We start from the raw sequence: 25,460 nt of genomic DNA, 5'->3' as shown, positions 1-25,460 counted from the left end.
TTCAGGACAGAATTTCTGCAAATCAGTAAGGAAAAGGCAAACAGCTTAACAACAACAACAACAGAAAAAAAAGTCAAAAAAATCATGAATAATCATTTTACAGAAGAGGAAACACAAGTTTCCAATAAACATACAAAAATCCTTTCAACCTCACCAGTAATCAGAAAAAAATGGGTGAATGAATGGGGTGACCAACTCAAAGCCTATACAACATGAACATAATTAATAGAAGCTCTTGGGGCAACTGAGGGGAGAAAGCAGAAGAGCAGAAGCTAAGACCTGAGGTCTGCAACCAGGACTCTCTTTCTCTTATCTTCTGAATGCACTCAACCAGATAGAATTAGGGTCATCTAATCCAATATAAGCCTAATTAGGCCGGGCATGGTGGCTCATGCCTGTAATCCCAGCACTTTGGGAGGCCAAGGCAAGTGGATTGCCTGAGGTCAGGAGTTCAAGACCAGCCTGGCCAACATGGTGAAACCCTGTCTTTACTAAAAATACAAAAATTAGCCAGGCATGGTGGCAGGCGCCTGTAATCCTAGCTACTCAGGTGGCTGAGGCAGGAGAATCGCTTGAACTCAGGAGGTGGAGGTTGAAGTGAGCCGAGATCGTGTCATTGCACTCCAGCCTGGGAGACAAGAGTGAGTAAATCCTTCTTTATTAAATGAAAAGAAGAATGCGAGTATGTAAATTCTGCATTCTGCACAACCTCTCCACTAACCCCACCCTCACCAGTCTGCCTAGAGAATGCCCTCTTCTTTCTTGACTCCCTCCTGCCTTTTCCCTGACCCCTGCTCCCCAATCTATGCCGATTTAGCCCTTTGAATGCTCTTTGATTGTAGACACTGTTTACTAGTTTGCAAGCTCGATGCCCTTCTAGGCCCTTCTAGGCCATAAGCTTGATGCAGGGAAATGTGTCTTAGTCATCGGTTAATCCTGCACCTCTTACAGTGCTTGGCAAATCATATGTGCTGGACACTTCTTTTGAATCTAACAGACGCTAAGTCACAGACCATGAAAAGCAGTGAATCTAAAGTCAATGACTCAAAATGCAAGTATTAATAGATTAACAGAGTAGGGATCTCAAAATGAAAAGAAAGGGCAAAAATACAAAGTAGACTCCAAGCTGATTACGACTAAGATATAAAAAAGCAATTTAAACCAAGCCCTGAAGTCTTGCTGAGTCCCCTGCTAAGCCAAGCAAGTCTGATGCACATAACACCCTTGCAGGCCGCACACAGCCCAAGGGAGAAGGTGGTTCCATGAAGTTTGGGCTGGGATATCTTTGGAAGACAGAATAAAAGTCAACTTTGTGGAAATGGGGCAATCCAGATTTTTAAAAATTGGGGCATTGTCCCTAGAAAACACTCACATCATTGCATACTGAAAGGAGCAGGCAGGTGGCAAGGTGGCAAGGCCAGGGGTAGGTACAGAAACACAAGGAGGTAATGGCAGAGGGTGGGGACCTACCCACAGAGAAGTGTGAGCATCGGAATGAATCACGCCTGTTATCACTCAGGCCACTCACTGTCTGCACTGAACCTGTACTAATTCTGCCAAAGTGGCCAAAACCTAGTGGAAATTCTTCTAACAGATACTTCTGGAAACTCCTCTTCCAAAAATCTCTCAAAGTTGCTTTACTTTGTCGTACATCAAATGCTTCCTTGCACCTGAATATAAAAACAGAACTTGAGGAGAGATCAGGTTAGAACTCATAGTAGGTTCTGATGATCTCTTTTCTTCTTCTTTTTGGGAATATTCTCAAATGTTGACCAGTTTAGCCTGGTTAGTGAAAACCATTATTGTTCAGCTACTGGATTAAATGCCTAACATTACAACACAAAGCAGATACAACTTGTTGACCACTCAAGGTGTGGTCACTGTCTTAATCAGTGAATGTGTGTTATCCTCATAATAGTCACAGTAGTGTCCTCAGGTCAGGATTGTTATCAACCCCACTTTCCATATCAGAAAACTGAGTCCTGAGCAATCAAGTAGCCCATACTAAATAAGAGCACTGAGATTATTCTCCAAGGCCATCGGATTCCATCTCCTTCTAGCTGATATTCATGAAGAAGGATGTGCTCTCGGGAACACTGGGTTCTCTATACACATTGTCCGTTATTTCTGCAAACAACAATAACGACAACCATTAAACTCCGGGAAGCTCGTGGGCAGGACTCAGCACAGAGCTGGGCATCATGCTACTTTGTACATCTGCTGATTAATTTTGTTTGGAGGCCACATAGAGCATCAGGAATTTGAGAATGTTAGCCAACCAATGAAGACTTCCAACTGCAGGGGGTCTGTCTTCTTTTCCTCTTCTTTCCCTTTCCTTTTTCCTTCCTTCCTTCCTGCCTGCCTTAAACATTCATAGGCACCTACTATGTACCAAGTGTTGTGCTGTGAGCTGGGACACGGAGATTAAAAAGACATGGACCACTCAAGGGCCTTGGCATCTAGGTATGGGAACACACCACTGCTCAGTGCAAGAAAGGCTACTCAAATTCCAGGGAGATGAGTGAATAGACAGAATCAAATGCACCTCCTTTTCTCTGGGTTCCTCATTACACTACAGGGCTATATTTCTAAAGGGAAGGGGAACTCCCAGGCGTGTCTGTCTGGTAAGTGAGGGCAAGTCTGCAAAGGAGCCCGACCACATTACAAAGAGGAAGGACAGTGCCTGTGACAAGAAGGAGGATCCACGGAGCCAGGGTGGAGGCACAGTGCAGGACCTGGGACAGGCAGACAGATTCCCCCATGCTAAACCCTGAATATGAGGGGAAGGGGCTGCAGTTCTGGGAAATAAGTTAGCTAGCAGCAGAATTCCATCTGACCAGTTGCACCCCCGCTCCCACACTCAGCCCACTATCTCCCAAGGAGGACTTTGACTTCTCTTTGTCCTTAATCTTGTAAATAAGAAGGGAAAATGTAAATCACCTCAGCGCTAGAGAGTAGGACAGGGCTGGAGCCCGCCTTCCAGTGGGAGGGGGAAGATCCATTCCAATACTTATTTATTATTATTATTTAGAGGAGAGAGAGGGGAAAGAAGCCAGAAATATTTCCAAAATGTCAACACTGTTAAGGAAATCTGAACACCTTAATCCATTTAAATGTCAGCTAGACCCAGGCAAAGGGTTTTTGGGAGGGGAGAATGAGGAAGTAAGGAGGGGCAGAGAGAATTAACGCCAGATTCCACATAATCTATCAAAGTTTCTTTCTTTTCTTAATGTATTAAATATTAAATCCTTCTTTGCATCTGAGTGAGAGAGGAGAGAGAGAGGGACCAGGGTGGAACTCATAAATGCCTAGATAATTGGTTTTGAGGTTTTCTTCTTCTTTCTTTCTTTCTTCTTGGTGGATTCTCAATTTCCCTATAAAAGAGAAAATTCATTTCCAGCCTCTAATGTAATGTCAGCGTGCTGTTTACTAAGCATGGATGATGTATAGGGGGACACTACTTTCAGAGGACTACTTAATGATGCATAGAATTAAATCCTGAGCTCCTCAGCTGAGCCTCCTCCCTCCCTCCTGGTTCCCAGGCTCCCAGTGCATCCTGGGAGAAGCAGGCTTGGCATAACCTGTCTCCCTCATTACTAGAATTCTGGGGTCTCTGCCGAAGAAGCTTGGAAATCACCCTTCACTTTAGCAGACACATTTGCCCTTGGCGTAGACCAGAGTGAGCTTCTGGGCAGTAAGAAGCTGATGGCCAGGGGAAAGAAGACTGCTCAGTGCTGAGGGAGATAGAAACAGGGAGTTCATAGGATGCACCAGGGTGTTGGGGTTTCCCTGTAGGGAAAGGGCTGGCCAGGGAGAGGGAGGGGTGGAGCTTCTCCCAACTCGCCCTCTGACCCCTGGGAACCATAGCATTCAGATGTCAAGTAAAATATATTTCCCTAGTTCAGCTCCAACCTTAGGGGCCTGTGAGGCTGTCATTGCCACAGCAGCACCTTGGTTCTCATGCACATGCCAGGCAGATGCATTGTCAGTGCAGGCTGCTCTCACAGTGGGCTGGCCAGCCTGGGTGGGCCTGGCCTCCCCTGAGGAGCTGCACCCTGCTGAGAGAATACCCCACCTTCCCCCCTGGGGAAAAGTGATTCGGCCATGCCACCAAGGAGACCACCAACTGGTGGTCAGCACTGAGGAACTGGGAGTGAAGGCAAGAAGATAGACAATGGGAGGGACCAGTGGGCTGAGGGGAGAGGGGAAAATGTAGCTCTCCTGCGGTGGGGGTGTTGGGAAGGAGTATCCAGACACACAGTCCCTTCTGAATCTCCACCAGGGTCGCTTTGACCCCCTTGAGTCTGCAGAAACTGACTTCCCCCTAGGTAAACCCAGTGGCCTCACTTTCGTTATCCTCCTGAGCGTTTGCTATCACTAACCACTCTCTCCTTTTGGAAGCCCTCTACTTAGGCGTTGTCGATGCTGCTCTCCGGAAAACTCTGTGAGTCCCTATCTCCTTTGTGGGGGTCTTGGGCTCTTCTAGTCTGCGAGCTGAGGATTTCCTATAGGAGTCTTTCTTGATGGCTCTCTCCTCTGTATATTTTCACTCCCTATACAGGTTCCCTGTTTTTCATGAATCCAAAGCCCATGTTTCCAATCTAACCATGAACCTGGGCTCCCAGAGTATGTCCACAGCCTCCTCTAGCAGCAAATTCAGAACCGTTCCCCAGTCAGCTCCCTTCCCCACCACCCCACTTCTGCCCATGCTATTGCCATGGCTTTCAGATTAGAAAACTTAAAGTCATCATTGTCTCGCTTTTCTTTTATTAAAATTTTGAAATGACCTGTGGCTTCCATCTTTCCTACTTATCCCCTGACCCCCATCACCCCGATCCAAGTCCTAGGCCTAAACTCCTGCCAAGGTCCCCCAAATTTTACCTTCCTGCAGTTGAATCATCCCAGTCTATCCTGAACTCTGAGCCCAACCTCATTTTCACAAAATACCATTTAAAACGCGTCATTTTACAGAGGCTAGTCACCACCCACTGAACTGTGTCCAGACTACACAGCCCTGAGCAGATCCTGCTTCAAAGGAGAATCAAAGGGAGCGCTTTCACCAGCTGAACCTGTGGAACAACAGTTGGAGAAACTGAGTTTCCAACCTGGAAAAGGGGAAGTTAAAAAGTTGCTGAGCTTGTTTAGAAAATCAGAAGAACTGCTCTGCAGCAAACAGGGAGAGATGCTGATGACACACAGAGAGATATCTGAAATCAGTGAACAGCAGAAACCATGAGCTAGGCTCCACAGGACTTTCCAACAGAGGCATTTAAAGGTGAAATGATCTTTCCCATCTTGAAATATTTCCCAACAAAGACTGATGATCACATATAGGGATATTACAGAGGAAACCCACATGTAGGACTGGTGAGGCATACATAGTTTTTCTAGAAGGGTTTTAAAGTTCCTCCCCACCCAGAGGTACTGTGATGCTGCACCTCGCTTCAAGAACTTCCTTCATCTGGCCATCCCTCTGTATTCCTCTTTTTTCCCAGCATCCCAGTGTATGTCCAGGCAGGCCAGATTCCTCACTGTCCAAACACATTCCATGCAAGTCTTTGCCCATGTGGCTTCCCTATGAAGAATGGCCTCTTGCTAATCCTTCAGACCCCCTCCTCCAGGAGACCTACTCAGACTCCTCTGCTGTCTGCTATCTTCGCTCAGCCCTTCAACCACACAATCTTGTACTGTACTCCCCTTCCTTACCCTTAACTTTTTCTAAGTGAGGATGAATCTGACCTCCTATAGTATACGAATCATAATGCGTCTTTTGCAGTCTCACTGTAGCTAACATAGAACCTTGCAAACACTGGCCATTAATAAAAACTCGATGCGTTGGTTGATTAAACACAGTTACACACAAAGTTCACTGCCCACCTTGAGTATTGCCGTGTGAGCCTTGCCAGTCAAGAAGTGTTGCCCAAAGAAAAATTCTGTGTGTGGCTCTCCATCATATACTGAACAAAATGCAGTTCCTAAGCATGACACTCAGACCCCAGCCCATACTGATCCTGAGCTACCTGTTCAAATGTTCCTGCATTCCTTACTCTATCACTGGCCAAATCAGACTATATGCCATGCACTATTTTCACAGTTTCCCTGCCTGGAAAGCCCTTCCCATTCTTACACACCTGGACATTCCTATTTGGTCTTCAAAAGGCAGCTCAGAAATCACCTTCTCAGTGGAGCTTTTCCTGATGACCTCTAAGGCAGCTTCTTTGCTCCCTCCTCCGTGCTCCCAGGACACTTTGGGCAGATCTCCATTATATTGCTCACCATATTTTATTATAGTTAATTGTGTACACATCTGCCTTCCCCACCATATGATGTGCTTGCCCTTCAAGGGCAAGGACAATGTCTTACCCATCCCTCATCCCTTTAGTACCCAGCTGCGTGTGAGGTGTATAGGAAGAAGGAAGGAGAGAGGGAAGGTACAGAAGGAAAGGGAGGAAAGGAGGAAGGGATACAGAAAAGAAACAAAGGAAAGAAAAGGGAGAAGATATTATGGGCAGTGGAGGTGTTATGACAAGGATCCAATATGGCACATTCACCTGGCCCATAGATAAGTGACCAAGAGAAGACACTTCATGAAGCTTCATGAGTCCAAAAAAGGAGATCTTTGCCTTCTCTCAGACACATCCACTCTGGTATGAATACACTTGATTCATGGCTACAGGTTCTCTGCATTATAGTCCATACTAATTAAAGTAAATGTTCTCTCCCTTCTGGGTCCTTAGTGTGCCCTGTTGAGTAAGACAGAAGACAGTAACTATTTCCCAAAATAGTGGAGGTCTTGCCTGATGAGATAATTCAGTGCAGGGATCTGGGAGCATGTCTTGCCCCAGGAGTATGGTTTATTCAGCCATAGTGGGGTGGGAAGGTGGTCCTGAGCTTTGTGGTGGTAGTGGATGTGTTGGACTAACTCTTGGCAGATTCGGTCCTCAGGAAAGTTCTGCCTAGGTATCGCTGCTAATTGGAATAACTAGGTGTCCCAGCTGGGCCAGAAGGGAGCCCCTGGAACACTCTCCTAGATGGAGCTGGGAAATACCTTTCTCTCAAAAATCTGTGTGATCCCTTGATTACAGCAGAAATGAGATATCGCTCAAAAAAATCTTAAACTGATTCTATAGGAGTTTGCACATAACTAGACATGTCTGGTGAGCTACTTCGTGTTTCCTTATGGAAGCCCATTTGCAGAAAGGAATGATCTGAACCGTGTGAGATAATTCACCAAAAGTAAGAAAGTCTGCCAAGGTGAACCAGACGCAGCAGCAGGACTGGGGCTTAGAGTGATGGTGGCTCTGTGTGCAGCATTTGAGTAACATTAGGAACTTGTCCCAATTCAGCTATCATAAAGTCACAAAGAGAAGAAACGTCTGTGTGTTTGTAAATTGACTAAATTTTGTCCCACTAAATTGTGACCCTTTGAGATACAGACAACCACATATTGAGATCTTCCTCAATGAAGCACTGGGGACACAATGTTCTCACTTCCTATGAACATTAGTGGCGGAGCCAGTTGGCAGCAATTTGGGATGACAGAGCGAGCCCCTTATCGTGGCAATCCTGGGACAAACAAAGACTCTTGCTCAATAGCAGAGGTTACAGGCCAAAGTAACAGAAGCCAGCATCAAATGGTAGCTCAGACTGCAGCAACTACCCCATGGGTAGTCCAAGAATATTTGGGAGGAGGGAACTCAGTAAGACACTGTGAAGCAGGTGGGAGCTCAAAGGTAGCAAGGCTCAAAGCTATGATTCAGATGTCATTATCTGAACCTACAGACTGGTGAGATGCAAGACTGAGAATACATTGTTTTGTTATTTTTGTTTTACCTTTTTATGTTTGTTTAAATACAGAGAGTAATCATTCAGGCCAGGGGAGATAATAAAATAACCCTGGCAGATGCTCATACCTTAGATCAACTCATGACACCCTACAGTTGTGTGCTCTAAGTTCAGGCTCAGTGTGTGGGACAGGCATTCCCCAAAGATGAGAGGTCCCACCTGGGAATCTTGGCTTTACCCTCTGAGAGTCCAGGAATCCTGGGTTGCTCCCAAGGATGAGATGATGAAGGGGAGGGAGAGTTCAAAGCCCACCCTCAGGCTGTCAGAACAAGGACCTCCTCCCTTAGAGCCTCTGTGTGGCACCAAAAGAAAGGGATTTCAAGAGACCCTGAGAAGTCGGACACCTTGCCATCAGTCAGTCCACCAAGACCTCTGGTTGGCAGCAGCTCTTTAGGTCTGAGCACCTGTTCCTAGGATTTAGTCACAGCCAGAATTTCCTTGTCTTATTTTCTTTTCTGCATCCTTTGATTTTCCCCCACTAAATATAAATTCTTTCAGACTATGGCTTCTAGATTTTACCCTTTAACATAATTCCCTAAATATAATATCCTGATCTCTCTCCCTTCTCATGTCCTCCACAAGCCAACCCATCTCCACTAGCAGGCCCACCATCCAAGATAATTGGACTGGCCCCAGAAGAAAATGAAGACCCTACAAAATCTGCCTCTCCCCCAGGTCACTGGGTCACTGATGCCTCCAAATCCGGTCCAGCAGGCTTGGTCTCCTCTTTTCCCTCAGCTCCATCCCTTCCTGGTCAGCCCAGTATCCACTTTCCTGGGTCTTATAAATCTAGAGCTAATCTGCTAAACTCCTCTGGGTCTGAACGTTAATGGCTGCTGTGAGTAAATGGGTTACCTTTCCCTGGAGCCTTCTCAAGCCACTATGGCAGGAGATTTCCACTCAAACCCTTCATATTAGAAGGTTCCTGAGACACCCACATTTCAGTTCTGTGGAAAGTACCAGGGTCAAACTACTGGAAGACCTAGGACCCCGGTCACACACCCCACCTACCTTACACTTCCTGCACTGTCCTGGGCCATCTCTCCCTCCTGAGGATCTCCACAGATGGCTCAATTCCATAGGGTCTTGTTGATCTTACATCAACCAGTGTAGAAACTTCTGTCTCTCTCTCTCCCCATCCCTAACTCTTTCTTTCACATTTTCTCATTCATACTCACCTTCCTTTAAAATAATTCCATGGGTCTTTTTTCAAAGTTAAAGAGACTTTTAAGAATCTTAGGCCGGGCGCGGTGGCTCACGCCTGTAATCCCAGCACTTTGGGAGGCCGAGGCGGGCGGATCACGAGGTCAGGAGATCGAGACCATCCCGGCTAAAACGGTGAAACCCCGTCTCTACTAAAAATACAAAAAATTAGCCGGGCGTAGTGGCGGGCGCCTGTAGTCCCAGCTACTTGGGAGGCTGAGGCAGGAGAATGGCGTGAACCCGGGAGGCGGAGCTTGCAGTGAGCCGAGATCCCGCCACTGCACTCCAGCCTGGGCGACAGAGCGAGACGCGAGACTCCGTCTCAAAAAAAAAAAAAAAAAAAAAAAAAAGAATCTTAGTTTGAGTCTGTGACAAAATAGGGGAAATATCATCCCTGAGGATGACCCTTGAGACAGTTATAAATGACTATAATAAAATAAAAAATTTGGAATAAGAAGGGATTCCCAACTGCTACTCTCCTAGCTAGGAGTCGAAACAGGCCCTTCACAAAGGGAGCGACAGGGAGGACGGCAGTGAGGGGCAGTGAGGAAAGTGGGGAGTTGAATAAGCCTTGCCAGATTGGGAAATGAGACCCACAGGGAAACACGACTCCAATCCCTCCTCAGCCATAAAGCCTTGTTCCCACAACCTCCCCAGCAGCACTTCCCACACACATGTGTAAACAACAGAAAGGGCTCCAGGGAGCCAGGCTCTGAGCAGGAGTGGGAGAGAGAGATCAGTCTGAACTCTCCTGCCTTGGGATTTAGGGAAAGTGTCCCTCAGTTTCCTCATCTGTAAACCGTAATGACTGAAGCTAACAGCTACTAAGCCATCACCACGGCAGACATTGCCAATTTCTTTATGTGCATTCACTTACTCACTCCTCATGGCAGCCTGATGAGGCAGGTCCTATTATTGATCCCATTATACAGATAAAGAAGCTAAGGCTTGGAGAGATAAAGTCACCAGCCAGAGCTTCTATTGTGCACCTTCAGTTCACCCACAAGACTGGCTATTTTTCTACCTGCTTCTCTGGAGGCTTTTATGGCAGGACTTTTATGGCAGGCTTTTATGGCAAGTCCTTGAAATACAGAATCTTCCTGGACCTTCTCCTTCTATGTTCCATTTTTGTCATCAGTAGGCTAGGGACAGAAAGAGGGTAGATGAATTTTCTTTGGTACTAAATTGTCCCATGGGTCAAGTGGAAAGTCAGCCAGGGATATCAACTCATGCACGTGGACAACACCTCCCCTGTTGTAAATTTTTCTTCCACACATTTTCTTTTGGCCTTCACAGCAGCCTTCAAACATAAATGAAGGAAGTCTTCCTCATCTATAAAATGAGGGTAAAATTGCCTGTCTTGCAGGGTTGGTATGAAGAGTAAATGATCATAGGAGAGCCCCTAGGACAATGTCAGGCACACAGTTTACTCTTACCAAATGTGAGGTCCCTTCTCAAGTCTAGGAGAGTGATGGCACTGACATGGAGACTGGACAATGCATGGTCTCACAACTGTAATTCCAGCAGCCCAGGCTTCCTCCCTGGAAGCAAGCATGACTTGGCATCCTGTGCTTCTTCTCTAGACTCCCTTTCTCCCTGCCTGTTTCTTCTCCTCTGTCCCCACCTCAAATGCCCCAAAGCTACAAATTCTAAAATAAATTTACAACACGGTACTGTGCTTTAGGACAAGAATTGGAAAGAAGACCCCAGATTTGGAATGGATAAGGGATGTTTTGGGGGATAGGATGCAGACATCGTTAGGGAGGGAAGGGCTCAGGTCACTGAGGGGAGGAAAGGTACATGGCACTGAAAGACACACAGATGAGTGCATATGCAGCACATGCACACACATGCACACACATACACACACATATGTACACATTATCCAGTGCCTTGGTAGACCACACCTCTGGCAGCAGTGGGTAGTCTTCACAAATGAGCCCCTGCTCACTCTAGAAAGCTATTCAGGCAAACTGTTCCTCTAGGAAACATTCATTTTTAGGGACTCTTCTGAGAAAGAGCAATTGGGGTTAATATATGCATATAATCATATATAATATAACTATGATAAAGGCTCTGTTTAAAATGTGGCCAACTGTGCCTGAGGACCAGCCCCCTTGGCTGGCCTTTTAGTCCCCATGGCTACCCCTGAGATATCTCCACAGTTTGTTAGGGCACCACAGAGTACACTTTGAAAACCATAACCTCAAACCAGAGAAGGAAGAAATGCAAGGTTCTGAAGTTGGGGACAGGAGGACCATGGTTGACTCTCTGATCACACGATGCAGGCAGTTGCCTATGCAGCTCTGGAGGGCAGAATGCCTGGTCCTCTACTTGATGGCGTTCCTGAACCAGAGCTGGATGGTTGCCTCCACATCTCTTGCTTTGTGAAATCCTTATAGAGCCCTGCTTTGTTTAGGCTTCCACTGTTTGGATTATCTGTTATATGTAGGTCTGCTCAGGCCCCAGCTGATCCATCATGCTATTATTCCTCTCCTGGCCTCCTGCATCCCGGGCTGACCTCCCACACTGATGCTGTCTCCTTCCCCCGGCCCCATTCGTGACTTGACAGCACTTATTCTCTTCCTCTGTACAAATCATTCAAGATGCCTTCCCTGTCTGATTCACTGCAGTATTCCCAGGGCTCAGATCCATGCTTGGCACACAGTAGGCACTCAATGAATATTTCTTAAGTAGACAAATGAATTATCTCACCAACCCGGCACTGCTCTCATTATCTGACAGCTGCTCGGCCTACTCTCAAACACTGACCCCTTATCCTTCTCCTATCTCATATTTCTTATTGTCTATGAAAGATCTCTATTTGGTTGGCCTTCCAACCCCTGCAACAAAACTTGTCCGAAGCAGAGCTTGTTTATCTTTCCTTCCAAGCCAGAGCCCATTCCCAACTTCCCAGTTATTGCTAGCAGCACAATTAGCCTTAGGACCGCGAGGTCATTGCTCTTCATTTTTTCTCTTTGCTTGGCGTTCACTCCCTCTTTGACTCCTGTCTGTTCTTTCTCAGCAAGGTCTCCCAGTCTCTGTGCTCTCTTTTCTCACAGCAGTTCCTGATCCAGGCTTGGACTCTGCACTGGAAGCACCAGCCGGCAGTCTTCCTTCCCACTTTGCACCAACACCAGTCAAGTGCAGGTCCTGCCAGTCCCCTGACAGAGAGGGCCTCGAAAGTGAATGTCACAGAGAGCACGCAGTGAGATGAGTAAAGGGATGAGAGATGAGTAAAGGATGCCACATTTCCTTTTCCTTGAGGAGAAGGATCCTCTGTGTCTATCGTACCTTTGCAATTAATACAATAATTCTGAGGACAGACTGTAGGCTTTTCTCAATTCATCAAGTTTATTGCATCCCCGAAACCAATCTAGAAATTTTACCCCTCTCCACTACCTTTACACCCTCACTGCTTCTCCCTTTCTCCTGATTCTGGGCCACAGCCATTCACTGAGTGGCTTCCACACAACAGCTGGGGAAGCACCCATGACAGGAATCACTGTTGAGCTCCACAGCCTGCCTGCAGGAGGCAGAGGGTCCTGGCCTCACCCACCTACTGGCTTCTCCTGATTCTGTGCTCCCTGGCTTCTCCTTCATCACTCTCTGGAAAACACTTCAAAGCTTCCTGCTCTTTCAATGCTGACCCTATTTCCGAAATAAATAAATGACAAAGAAAGAAACAATAACTCTTCACATAGGCAGGGCAGGCCATTTTCTTCACCATCCACCTCCATTGCAAACTCTAATTACCTGATCCTACCTATAGGTGCTTCTCACATGAAGAATGACAGAGAGGATTTTGCCCACCTTAGCATGCTTTCTGGGTATAACGCTATGTCCCGGATAAGCTTTTGGGCTCCCTGCACCCCACACTCCTCAGTCTATTTGTACCAACTGATTTATGCAGGGCTGGGAAGCTTCCAAAAAACAAACAATTTGGGATTTGGACATATACAGACATGTGTGATGACATTGGCAATGCCTTCATGAAAGCCAAATTGCAGTGAGGAACTTCAGGAGATAGATCCTGAGGGAAAGAAGCCACCATTATGAACCAATCTGGAAACAGGACCTGAGCAGTAAATGGAAATGTTTCTGCATAGAATGAGGACAACACTGCTTGAGCCTCCTTGCAGAGAAAAGGTTGTGTATATGCAAAGTGAAAAGAGCTGGAACATCTTGGAGCTCAGGCATCCCTGTAAAGGAGTCACAAAGAAAGAGAGAAGCCTTTCCCTTCCCATTCTGTAGATGTTCAGCTAATAGCTGTCCAGAGAAAGTGGTGGTGGCCACCCTTCAAGGGGCGCCTGAGCAGAGTGATGATGGCGACACAGAAAAGAAGCAAGAGGCACAGCAAAGAGATTCATGAAAGCATCATGGCAACCCCAGAGTACCACCTGAGATGGCTAGGAGGAGCCATGGGAGGATGGCAGAGGGTGGTGGTCTCAAGCTCCTAGCCGCACCTCTCCAGTCCCAGGAGCCAAACACACAGTCCCTTGTGACCTCATTGTACCCACAGGTAGAGAGCTGAAGAAGCATTTAGATTATATAAAGAATCCGCCATTCAAGGTACATCAAGTAAGTCCAAACAATTATGTAGGAAGAATAAAAAAGACAACAGGCTTGCAAAGCATTGAGCATATTTGCAAAAGCTGACTATAGACAGTGCAGGTGCTGTTTGGTCAGGATTGAATGGGAGGGGGAGGAGAGGCCAGACTTTGGTGTCCACTCAGCCCGTCCTGAGCCAGCACTGTCCTTGGAGTGATGGAGGGTTTGAGGAAGTACAAAAACACTGGAAGCCTCAGAGACTGGCAAGTCCAATCCCTCTTTTACATGAATAAGCACCTGGGCTTTCCACAAAAGAAAATGGTTAGAAGTAGCATTTGGGTGGCACATCACAGAAGGCCCCCACACACATTAGCCTGGATGATTCTCACAATGTCCCCAAGAGATTGTGCTGTCCTCACTGCAAAAGCAGAGAAATAGGAGGTTTGATAATATTAAAGAAAGTGCCCAAGGTCTCTTGGCTCCCCTGCACACCATGCTCTGTGAAAGACGGAAGGTATGGGAGGCGGGGGCTAGTGGGTTATGCAGAGGACAGCTCGGTGAGATATTGCAACCATTAATTCAATACAAAGAATGCATGTGAGTGAATGAATGAAAGAATGAATGAAAACCTGTGAGATATTCATAAAGATCATCAAACACAAGCTGTGTAGGTTTTTAAGAATTGAATAATCTCATTAAATAGTGGGAAAATTTAAGATTCCAGAAAACTCAGAAAATATATGGGCCAGTGTTTGGTGTACATCAGTTCATTAAAATTATAGATGTGAAGACTCTACTCATAAACTACTGAATCAGAATTTCTGGGGCCTCCTTATATTCAACAAGCTGCCCAAGTGATTCTGCTGTGTGTGAAAGTTGGAGAACTAGTGGTTTAGGTTGTAGTTTAATTTGTAATAATCAAGACAAATAATTAACTGCCTTGTAAGAAACACTCACATTCACTGATTGCCATCATGTCTCTCTGATAATAATAGTGAATCCACATGAGCACTTACTCTCTGCCATATGTGTAAATTCTGATTGAATTTTCATAAGAACTTTGCAGGGTTAGTATTATTATCTTCACTCAATAAAAACAGGGCCTAATGCTCAGAGAGATGGAGTGACTTGGTTAAACCGACATTGTTAGATTGTGGCAAAGCTGGCTCTGCAACAGGTCTGCCTGTCTCCAAGACTGTGCTCCCTCCATCAGAGCCAGAACACCCCTCCTCCTTTGCACGAAGTTGGACCCAGGGCTGGGCTGGGAGGTTCAGAAGAGTCTCTCATAACTTCAAAAGTGATGAGCATAATTCACAAATGTGAACACTTATCTATCATTGCAGCAGCAAATAAGAACTTTTGAGAAGCTGGTGACCAAAGTTGAGAAGCATAGATAGCCTCCAAAAACTCTAGAAGAAACGGAGACCATGCCTGTGAAAGAATTATGAAACATTAGAGAGGGAGTTTCAGGGATAACAGAACATGGAGAAATGGAGGCTGGCTTGAGAAATGTAAGTAGCCTAGATCTGGAATCTGGGAAGGAAGGGAGTGAGGGAGTATAGTGGAAGGTGCTGCAGAAAGGAAGTTGGGTAAAATGGGAAGGAAGGAAACTTCCAGATGAAAGGATTCAAGGATAAGCCTGAGAATGAGAGCAACAGCCAGGAAAGAGAGAGAGAGAGACACACACACACAAAGAGAGGAAGAGAGAGAGAGAGGCCTTGAGCAGATGATTCACCCATGCATGATTTGTAACATCATGCACTGGTCACTTGGAAGATGTTGGTTCACTGAGTTACAAAGATCTTCCAAATGCACAGTAAAAAGCCCCACTGTACACCCGGAGGTAAATAAGAAAGCAAAGGCAAACGACCTTGAAACAGCATTGACCTCTCAGACACCCTGAAAGGATCTCAAGGAGTCCAGGAGTCTCAGGCTAACACCTTGAGAATTACTGCTGTGGTGTAACGAAGAGCGTTCTGAACTGGGAATCAGAAAAACAGCATGCTATATCGGACTCACCTTTTCATTAGCTTGGGCATGTCCCTGAACTTCTCTGAGCCCTGTCAGACAAGCTGGATAACTCACTATTTCTTAACAATTCCCCATGAATTCCCCCATCAGAGCATTTCTCTGCTTTGCCTAAGATAGACTCTTCTCTGCCCAGTTCTCCAACTGCCACCTGCCAACTGTACCCCTTCTTGAAGGCATAGCCAGTAGCCACCGTGATATGTTCTCTCTTTCCCCTCTTCAGACACATCTCTCCTTCTTAGGCCCTTTACTGCCTGTGTTTGGACCTCTACTGGGGATCTTATATCACTCTGCCCTCAGAGTAAAAATGACCAGAATCCTTGTCTGGCACCCCCACCACCTCTGGCACCCCCTCTTCCCCCTCCCAACTGGACTGTGAGTCCCTGAAGAGCAGAGACCACCAGGTCTTGTTCATGTTTGTGTCTCCTCCAGCCACTAGCACAACACCTGACACAGAGTAGGCACTCTGTGGAAGTGAAATTAATTGGTTAGCATGTTTCAGAAAGATCTATCTGTAAGGTTAAATGGATATTTATGGGAGAAGAGGCTGGGAAGAGGTGACTGGGAGGTGAAGGGAGAGGAATGGCGGTAAAGGGAAATAATGAGAAAACCGATGGAAGGGGCCTGAGGGGAGAAGTCAGAGTGTACACCTATGGGCTAAAGAGACGGGGTGTGATCGGGGCACAGTAAGAAGAAGGGCATTTTAAGGTGGACTTAGAGGATGAGGAGGGGAGTGGGATGCTTGGGCAATGGCATTCCATTGGACTAAGACACTAAAGAATACTTGGGATGAAAATCAGGAGACACTGGGTGGAGGAGCTGAGTCCTGGCTGCTGGATGACTCCTTCTGTGAGTGAGGGGCATGAACAGAGGTGCTAGGAAGCCAACCCCATTCTCTCTGCACACGATGCCAGGGATGCCATTGGATCTCCTGTGTGGGGCTTCCTGAGAACCCCCCTTCCAGGCACCTGGAAACCCTTGCCAGCTCCCACACATCTGGTGAGGAGCAACCCTGCATGAAGCACAAGTGGAAAAGAGCAAAACACTCAAAACCTCTTTTTCTCTTCAAATATTTGCAGAGGGAGTATGGCAGGAGTTCAGGAATGCGGTGCTTATTGCTCACACTACATTAAAATTCAGATTGGCTTGTGCAATATCCATGGCATAACCGCTCTGTGCTGATATTTTTATAACTCTTAATATCAAACAAATTGCCTCTTCACTGAGACAGTTTAATGTGACGGGGGCCGTGCCTGCCAGCTTCCTCACGCCAGCCCCATAAAGATCACCATTCTGTTACTGGGGACAGAGGAGGTATGAACTGTCAAAAATATGACTGGATTATGCAGAGTAAATCTTGGACTGTATTAAAAGGATCATGGTGTTTTAATTTCTTTTCTCTCCCCATACACTTGCCACCACATCTTTTTTTACTAATAAAATAAGGTGGGGGCCTCCAGGTTGAATCATCTATGAATCATCTTTTTTGGCCTAGGTTCCTGTTTTTGTCATATTCATGCCTCCTCTTCAGTCATCAATAGATGCCTTTGGCTCCACCTTACATTCAGTAGATGTCTCCTCTTTCCTTCATGATCTGGGAGAGAAAAAGATTTGAATGGATTTTTCTAGAAAATCTCCACCATACTTCAACTTCAGGGTCAACAGAATCTTCTCTCATTTGGGTAACTTTTACCCCAATGGCATCTGGGGAGTAGAAAGAACTACAGTTGAACACTACACTCTTCTTCATGAGCTCATTCTATCAAACACTCCTTTTATTACAAAGATATGATTTCCTACATAATTAGGAAAAATAGACTGTATTTAATGAATAATCAGTTCTCCCTTTCATTTATAAATCAAAGACCTAGAAAAATGCCAGTCAGAGCAATCTATCGAGATAGTATGTATTCCCAAATTGAGTTGTTATAAATCAACCCAAAGCAAAGAAACCTGACATTTTACCAGCCAAGTCACTTTACTGTAGGTAATCAGTCCTTTCCAAATATTGAACATAGTTTGTGAACTCTGCCCTCCTACCATTACTGCCCTAGAGAGCCACTCAGAGACCCAGGATACTGAAGTTTAGAACAAGTGAGTAAGGAGTCCTCCAAGAAATACATTGATTGGAGGGGTCGTGTCAGTAGAAGTCTCAGTACAGCATATGCAAGTGCTAATAGCAGCACAAACGCAAAGAACAAATGATCAAAGTGTTTTGCATCACCTTCCAGCCTTCCTGAGACTACACACTCCAGACTGACAGACAGACATACAAATGGACACCAGTCACACATCCTTGTTTTCAAGGCAGGGAGGAAAGCTTCCACTTGAAAAGTGCCCTGTCACTTGAAAGGGTTACCTGTGTGAGGTCACATAATTTTGAATGTTTTTCTCTCGTATCTTTATACGTCAAATCCTCCTTTTCTTCTCTACTGGTATTTTATGAAATAATACTTAGGATGACTCCACCATTTTCAAGTTTTACATTTTAATATACTTTGAAATTGTTATCCTCACATAACATAGTTAACACCAATCAGAGGTAACTTCACCCAGTATTATAACTTGACGCACATTTGTTTTGTAAATGTTTTAGGAAGATTTGAGCTGAATAATCTTTTTCTTTAAATACCATATATTTTTTGATTCTTATGGCTGAAGGCATATCCACTTCCTTTGCTTCCAGAACATTCCAGATTACCCTGGCTTGCAGCACTGGTCATCTTTGAAAATCTACAAAGTTCTAGAAAGGCTGATCTAGGCTAGGAACTCAGAGCAGGCCCTGTAGAATTGTCAACTATTAAAATATGTCACATCTTATGCTTATGAAACTAGGAAAAAACATAAATCACACTTTTATAACTGACTGCTATGGTCTGAATGTGTCCCCCAGAGTTCAAATGTTGGTAACTTAATCTCCAATGCAACAGTGTTAAGAGGATGGATATTTAAGGGTTATTGGGCCTGTCCTCATTAATGGATTAATGATGTTATCATGGGAGTTAGTTATTGAAGGAGCAGGTTTCTGATAAAAGGGGTGAGTCTGCCCTGCTTTCTCTCTTGCTCCTTCCTGCTCTTTTCCCCTTCCTCCTTCCCTGGTAGGATGATGCAGCAAGAAGGTCCTCACCAGATGCAGCCCCCCAACCTTGGATTTCCCAGCCTCCAGAACAGTAAGAACAAAAAAAATCTTTTCTTTATAAATTACTTAGGCTGTGGTATTCTGTTACAGCAACACAAAACAGACTAAGACACTGACTATGATAAAAATGGGATGATCTGGGCTGGGTACAGTGGCTCACACCTGTAATCCCAGCACTTTGGGAGGCCACGGCTGGCGGATCATAAGGTAAGGAGATCAAGACCATCCTGGCTAACACGGTGAAACCCCGTCTCTACTAAAAATACAAAACTTTAGCTGGGTGTGGTGGCAGGCGCCTGTGGTCCCAGCTACTCAGGAGGCTGAGGCAGGAGAATGGCGTGAACCCAGGAGGTAGAGCTTGCAGTGACAGGAGATCGCACCACTGCACTCCAGCCTGGGCAACAGTGCAAGACTCTGTCAAAAAAAAAACAAAACTCTGAATAATGCAAAAGTTAGGAAATCTTGATAATAGCAAAAATTTAGAAACAATCAAAATGAACAAAAATATGTGCCTTGTTAAAAAAAAATCATCCACAGAGCATACAAACCTATAATAAAACACTGTAACAACTTAAAATTTAGTTTTAGAAGAAATATTTAATATGATATAAAAAGGTATTTGCAATTTAACATCGAATGAAATAAAGCAGGTCAAAACAATGTTTATAATATGACCTTGTGTTTTAATACATGTATATTTTGAGATTTAGGATAAATTCCAAATTGTTTATAGTAGAATAACAGGTGATTATTATTTTCTTCTATGTTGCTTATCTCTGTTGTCTCAATGTTTGTTGGAAAAAATAAGTGTATTGCTTTCAAAATAAGAGGGAAAAAAAGTAGTCTGGAAAATTGTTTTCATTGCACATCTGTGGGAGTTGAAAATTGAGCCTAGAGCTTTTAAGACATTCTTGTATTCACGCATCTCAACAAATAATACTTATGGCCTAAGGTAAGCTAGCCCTGTGGTACTGCAGAAAAACCAAAGACCCACTACTTGCCCTCTGACAACTTATAGTTCTGCCACCCAGACAAGAGAAAATCCTTGTCTGGGTGACAAGGATTCAATCCCTGCCTTTGAGGTGAGAAATGAGGGCTCACCTCTGCCAAGGGCCTCTGAGGCTTCCACAGCTCCTTGGACTGAGGTTGGAGCCAGCACTGCCTTCTGTGCCCTGAGGGTCCCAGGGGATCAGGGTGTGGCTGAAGTAGTCTGGGCCTGCAGCTACTTCCTCAAGTCCACTCTCCCACCCGGACAGCCTGTCCCACTGCCCTTGGACACCCACCTCGTCACACTCTTCTGTTTCTCCCCTTCCCATCCTCTCTGTCAGGTTTCTTCCAGGCCACCTCCAAAGAGACCTGCTGCTCCACCCCCAATCTGTTGCTTGTGCCTTACTAGAGGTTTCTACCCTTTTCAGCGCCACATCCCAGGGAAGGAAGAAACATGCTCCAGGGCTGGAAGTTTGTCTTTGAGGGGAGGAAGTTCCCTGGAGTCTGCAGCAGATGGGGGAGGCCCCAGTGGGGCGCACGTGGATGCATTTCTGGGAGGAAACCAAGTACCATCCGCTCTCGCTCGCTCCCTTCCAGTGTTTTCTTCCCCCGGCGAGTCTCTTAATTTTACTCATTTATCTTAAAGAGCTCCGTAAGCGCCGTGGGCTCTGGTACGGGGTGGGGGGACGCACGGGGCCTCCGACACCCGACCCCCACGCCTGCTTCCCAGAGGAGCCGTCCAGCGCGGACCAAATCTCATTTTCCTACAAATAGTTTGTCAGAAGCAGGAGGGCAAGCACTAAACCACGGAGAGCGAGAGCGGAGAGAGAACGGGGAAGACTGGCGAGGGGAGGGCGGGCCCGAGGGGGCGGAGGGAGGGTTGGCTGCGCAGAGGGAGTAGCGCGAGGGAGGGTGCGAGCGGCGGGGAGGGGCGCAGGCCGGGGAGAGACAAACGGAAAAGGAGGGAAGGAGATCGAAGAGACAAACAGGAAAACACGAGGGAGGATGAGAAAGGGAGAAGGAGCCAGGGGAGTCCAGGGAAAGGAAGCAAAGGGAGAGGGAGAGACTGAAGAGAGGAACGGAAAAGACTGGAAAAGATAGCAAAGGGTGAATCAGGAAGCAGAGAAGGGGAAATGAGAGGAGAAAATGAATCCAAAGAGGATGCGAAAAAGGAGGAAGGAGAGAGGTCTGGTAGAGAGGCAGACCCGGAAAAGGAACGTGGGCAAGGGGGTGCTCCATGTGTCCTGAGCCCCCTCTATGCCCTGAGCCACAGGGGTGCCTGTAGTCTGACTCCTTGACCCTGTCTTCCCCATCCTTATCCCTGCTGCCTGCTCTCCGTGGACTGATGCAGGATGCAGATAAGGATGGGCTCATCTTGGTCCACTGTTAGCCAGCCTAGGAGACAGTCATTGCAGTGTGTGTGTGTGTGTGTGTGTGTGTGTGTGTGTGTGTGTGTGTGTGTGTGTGTGTGTGATGGAGACAGGGAGGGGAACCTGCATACCAACTATTATGATGAAGACATGCGTCCTTAAGCAGGCTACTTCACTCTTCTGAGCCTCAGTTTTCTGATCTAGAAAATGGGAACAATAATCTCTCTTTGCAGTCTTGGGAGAATTGAAAGAGATGACCCACAGGAAAAGAATCTACCACAAGGTGAAGGCTGTTGGTTAGGAAACGCAGCCTCCCTTGAGTTTCTGTGTGGGTGAACCTGGCTCCTGGGGCCCCACGTGGGAGTGCCAGGCTTCAGAATCTGCACACTGCTTCACCACCCCCGCAGCCTGTGATCCCAAGCCAGGCCCTCTGATCCGGCAGCTGTCAACACAAGCACACTCCAGTGCTTTCTGCTTTGCTGTTGGCCTCCCTCGGGAAGCTTTGAACACTAGTGAGATCATCATTGTCAAACTCTCTGGGCTCTGGTGCAAGGGCAGTCAGATAAGGAGGAATATGACGTGCCAACCCTCCTCTTTGGTCCCCAGCCCCCAGCCTCACCCTGCTGACCTCTGGCTCCTGCTTAGCTCAGGAACTGTGGGCTCAGAACAAAGTTTGAGGTTCTGCTTCTCTGATTCACCCCTTTCTCCTTCCTGATTACTGGCATGGAGCCAGGCACTGCAGGACAGAAATCAGGTAACTTTACAGATGGGAGGAATGAAGTGGTGCTTGTAGGGGCCTATGTTGTGCTGGGCACCAAAGTAAACTGCATGAGGACAGGGACCTTGTCTGCATGGCCCACAGAACTATCCTAGCACAGTGCTGGCACATGTTGGTTCATGAAATGAATGAGTCATTTGATATTGTGAATATGCATTCACTTATTCACACCTTATGACTAAAAAAAAAGCTGTTATTCCATTTTATGGAAAGGGCAACTGAGACACAAAATCACAGGAAGGAAGTGATCAAACCAGGGGTTGAATCCAGAGCAATCTGTCTCCAAAGCATGTGTTCCTTCCGCTGCAGCCCATGGCCTCCAAGCATCCTGCCCGTCGATGCCTGAGGCACCAGGGAGTTAGGAATGGCAGAGACCCAAACCCGTGATTCCTGCTGGACCTTCTCCTTCCCCTTAGATTCTGGAGAGGGCACCCCATAGAGCACTCCATTTGAGGTGGTCCCTTCATTTCTGGGCTCTTGCCATTGGCATTGTCCTCTAGCTCTGGACTTCAGGCTATGCCACTCTCAGACCCTCAGCCCTGGCCCCCTTCCCTACTTGGAACTTTGAAGATGAGGACACGTGCCTCAGAACTTCTCTCACCTCAGCTCTTAGGACCCCAGCCATACCTGCTCTGTCCCCCTCCCGTCTAACCCCCCAGCAACGTGGGCTTCCTCTGGGGACCTCATGTCCAACCCTGACAAGCAGCAGAGCCCAGGGAAAAGAGAATCAGGTTCTGCTCTCCTGCCATGTACCAGTTAGATGACTCTGGGCAATTCTTTCACCTCTCCAGGACTCAGTTTCTCAACTGGAAAATGGGGATTTTTAAAAAAATCCATGCCTAACTCCCAAGGCTGTCATGAGAATGGATTAAGGCAAAAGCTGTGAAAGTGCTTTACAAATGAGAAAGCCTCCTATTTTTCACTTTCTTCTGATGGCAGATCCCCAGGTCTCCTTCCCAAGGTTCTTGCTCTCCCCGCACAATGTACCCTGAGCACTGCAGGTGCCTGTCCACCTTCGCTTCATGAAGAACCATGATATGTCACCATATAAAATCCAAATAAAGCCTCACGAGTGAATCTACTTACAGGAGACAGAATAAAGCAATGACTAAGAGCTCTAGCAAGAGTAAAAAATCAAGTCTCCAATTTTTAGCTCTTCCACTTACTAACAGTGTTAACTTTGAACAATCATTTTACCTCTCTAAGCCTCAGTTTCCCCATCTATAAAGTGGGATAATAATAATACCTGTCTTATCAGGTAGATAATGTATATGTAGCATTCCTGTCTTATCAAGTAGATAATGTATATGTAGCACTAGGGACATATTAAATACTCAATAAATGGCTTCTATTGTTATCTCCTCTTATTTTAGTCTCGACTCTTGAAAAATGAATCAGTTGTCAGACTTCATAGCTTGTCACCTCTCTCTCGATGGCCCCAGTGTCAGTTCCTTGGTGCATGTCCTTGTTTTGTCCTCCTTCAGTGATGACCACAGCCTCCTTTTCTGGCCCCCAAGTCACCCACCGCACTGTGTTCTGACCTTATCACCACCATGGGTTCCCAGGGAGCCAGACCACATGAGGAGGAGGGAATGCAGATGAGGGGAGGGGACCTGCCCAAAGTCACAGGGGTGCTACATGGGCAGAGCCGCTTCTAGGCTCATGAGGCCAATCATTTGGATTGTCCCCACACAAAGCCCCGACAGGGAATCGAATTCCTTAAAGCCCAAGACTGGCTGCCTTCGTGAATGCCTTTTCTCAAAGCCCTTTGCCAGGGTGGCTTCGTGGCCTGGCCTCCCTCTGCCCATGCTCTATTCCAGCACATCTTTCCAGCCCCTTCCGATTACTGTCACTCTACTTCCTTGACTGTCTTGCTCTGCCAGGAAGCTTTCTCCCATATGATTCCTTCAGAGCTTGTTCATGCATGTACCAGGCCTCAGACTGACTACTGGGGGAAGAGGAGAGTCTGAGGCACAGTCTTTGCCCTCAGAGAACCCCAGTCTAGTGGGTGCCACATGCCCAGTTAGACTCCCATCCTAACGTTGCAGCTCAAGCTGCCCTGTCAGTCCCTGAAGCCCACCTTCCTCCATGAAGCCCTCCCAGATTGGCTGACTGATTCAAGGCTGCTTCCCAGATCCTCCCAAAGGGCACCATTCCTCTTTGGAAGCTATATGCATGAGGTATTTTTATCTCCTTTTAAAAACTGCACCTCTCTCTCTCTGTTGATATAATATATATAATATATATGGCTGACATTTTAAAGTCCATTTTCAAAATGTATACTATCTTATCCGTGTTTCCTGAATATAAAAGTCCATGCCAGCCATATTGTATTGCATTTGAAACCCCTAGAGGTAGGGATCTCAGTTATGTGTGAGTCTCAGTGTATCAAGGCCCAGAGGCCATAGCAGGAGGGGGCAGCCAGGGCTGCCTTCGGGAGGAGAGGAAAGGCACCCACAGAGCCGCCAAAGCCACGCAGATGTCATTGGAGGAAGAGATGAAGTGCTGTGGACATTAGGGAAGGAAAAATCCATTTCTGGATGTGGAGAATCCAGGGATGCACCCATCCTTAAGGACCAGCTCAAATGCTATGCCCGTCAGGACAGCTTCTCTGATCCCCCAACTGCACTTGAGCTTCTGAGGAAACACCCCAGTTTCCCCGGACTCATTTTGTGACACTTAGTGGATTCTCTATGGGAGTTTGGGACAGTTAAATTTGTGCACAACTTTGCTTTCTCTATTTATGAATCAATTTGGTGAATTCTTCCTGAAAAGAGGCCAGATTCTATCAACTTTTGTATCCCCTCCCTCCACAACATCCCCTGAATGTCATGCCTCATACTAAGTAGGTGCTCAATAAATGTTTGAGGAGGGGAAGAAAGAAGGAAGGGAAAGAGAGAAAGGAAGAAAGAAAAGAGGAGATAGAGGAGAGTAGAGGGGAGGAAGAGAGGAAGAAAGGCTGGAAGGAAGATGGGAGGGAGAATGGAAGGAAGAAGTGAAGGGAGGAGCATTAAGGAAATGCCCGCAGGTGGAAGCATTCCCCTATAAATGCAGGGGCTCTTCTCCGTGCTCTTTCAGTGCCAACAAGGGGCCCTGGGAACAGATTTAATTTTCTATTATCATCCTGGGGATAGAGCCCCTGTCTCCTAAGCACCCTGTGTGGAAACCAACACTTTATGGATAGCACTGAATATGTTTCCAATGAGAAGTAACAGCTGCAAACTCATTAGGATGATTAAGATGGCTCAGATCACCAACCTTGAGCAGGATCCAGTAAAATTAAAAAAATCCATCAGCACCACTACCCCCTTTCAGAGCAGGAGGTTGCCAGGCAGAGGGGAAGTGCCAGCAGCCAGGGTCCTCTGGCCCAGGTGCAACTGGAGCTTCCAGGTGAGAACACAACCGCCAGATGGCAGACACATGGTGATGGCTGGGAGGTCCAGGGGCTTTGCGCCTTGCATATGGGGCAGGAAAAATGCAGTCTACTGAAGTGTGAACCAAATGGAAATGTATTCTCACATTTCTCTTCCTTTTTCTGAGACATAGTGGACTTTGGATT

At 46.5% G+C, this 25,460-nt stretch overlaps 1 annotated feature.

Annotated features, from left to right (window-relative positions):
• Positions 19,603 to 20,103: an enhancer, noted in NCBI's record as "H3K4me1 hESC enhancer chr2:96349017-96349517 (GRCh37/hg19 assembly coordinates)". NCBI's record gives its function as "activates a minimal SCP1, AML or CMV promoter by ChIP-STARR-seq in primed H9 embryonic stem cells {active_cell/tissue: H9 hESC(primed)}" and the evidence as "EXISTENCE:reporter gene assay evidence [ECO:0000049][PMID:30033119]".

This window comes from Homo sapiens, chromosome 2, assembly GCF_000001405.40.
Source record: "Homo sapiens chromosome 2, GRCh38.p14 Primary Assembly".
Taxonomy (NCBI): domain Eukaryota; kingdom Metazoa; phylum Chordata; class Mammalia; order Primates; family Hominidae; genus Homo; species Homo sapiens.
The sequence above is the reverse complement of the archived record's forward strand: the minus strand, read 5'-3'. Positions and strand labels throughout refer to the sequence as shown.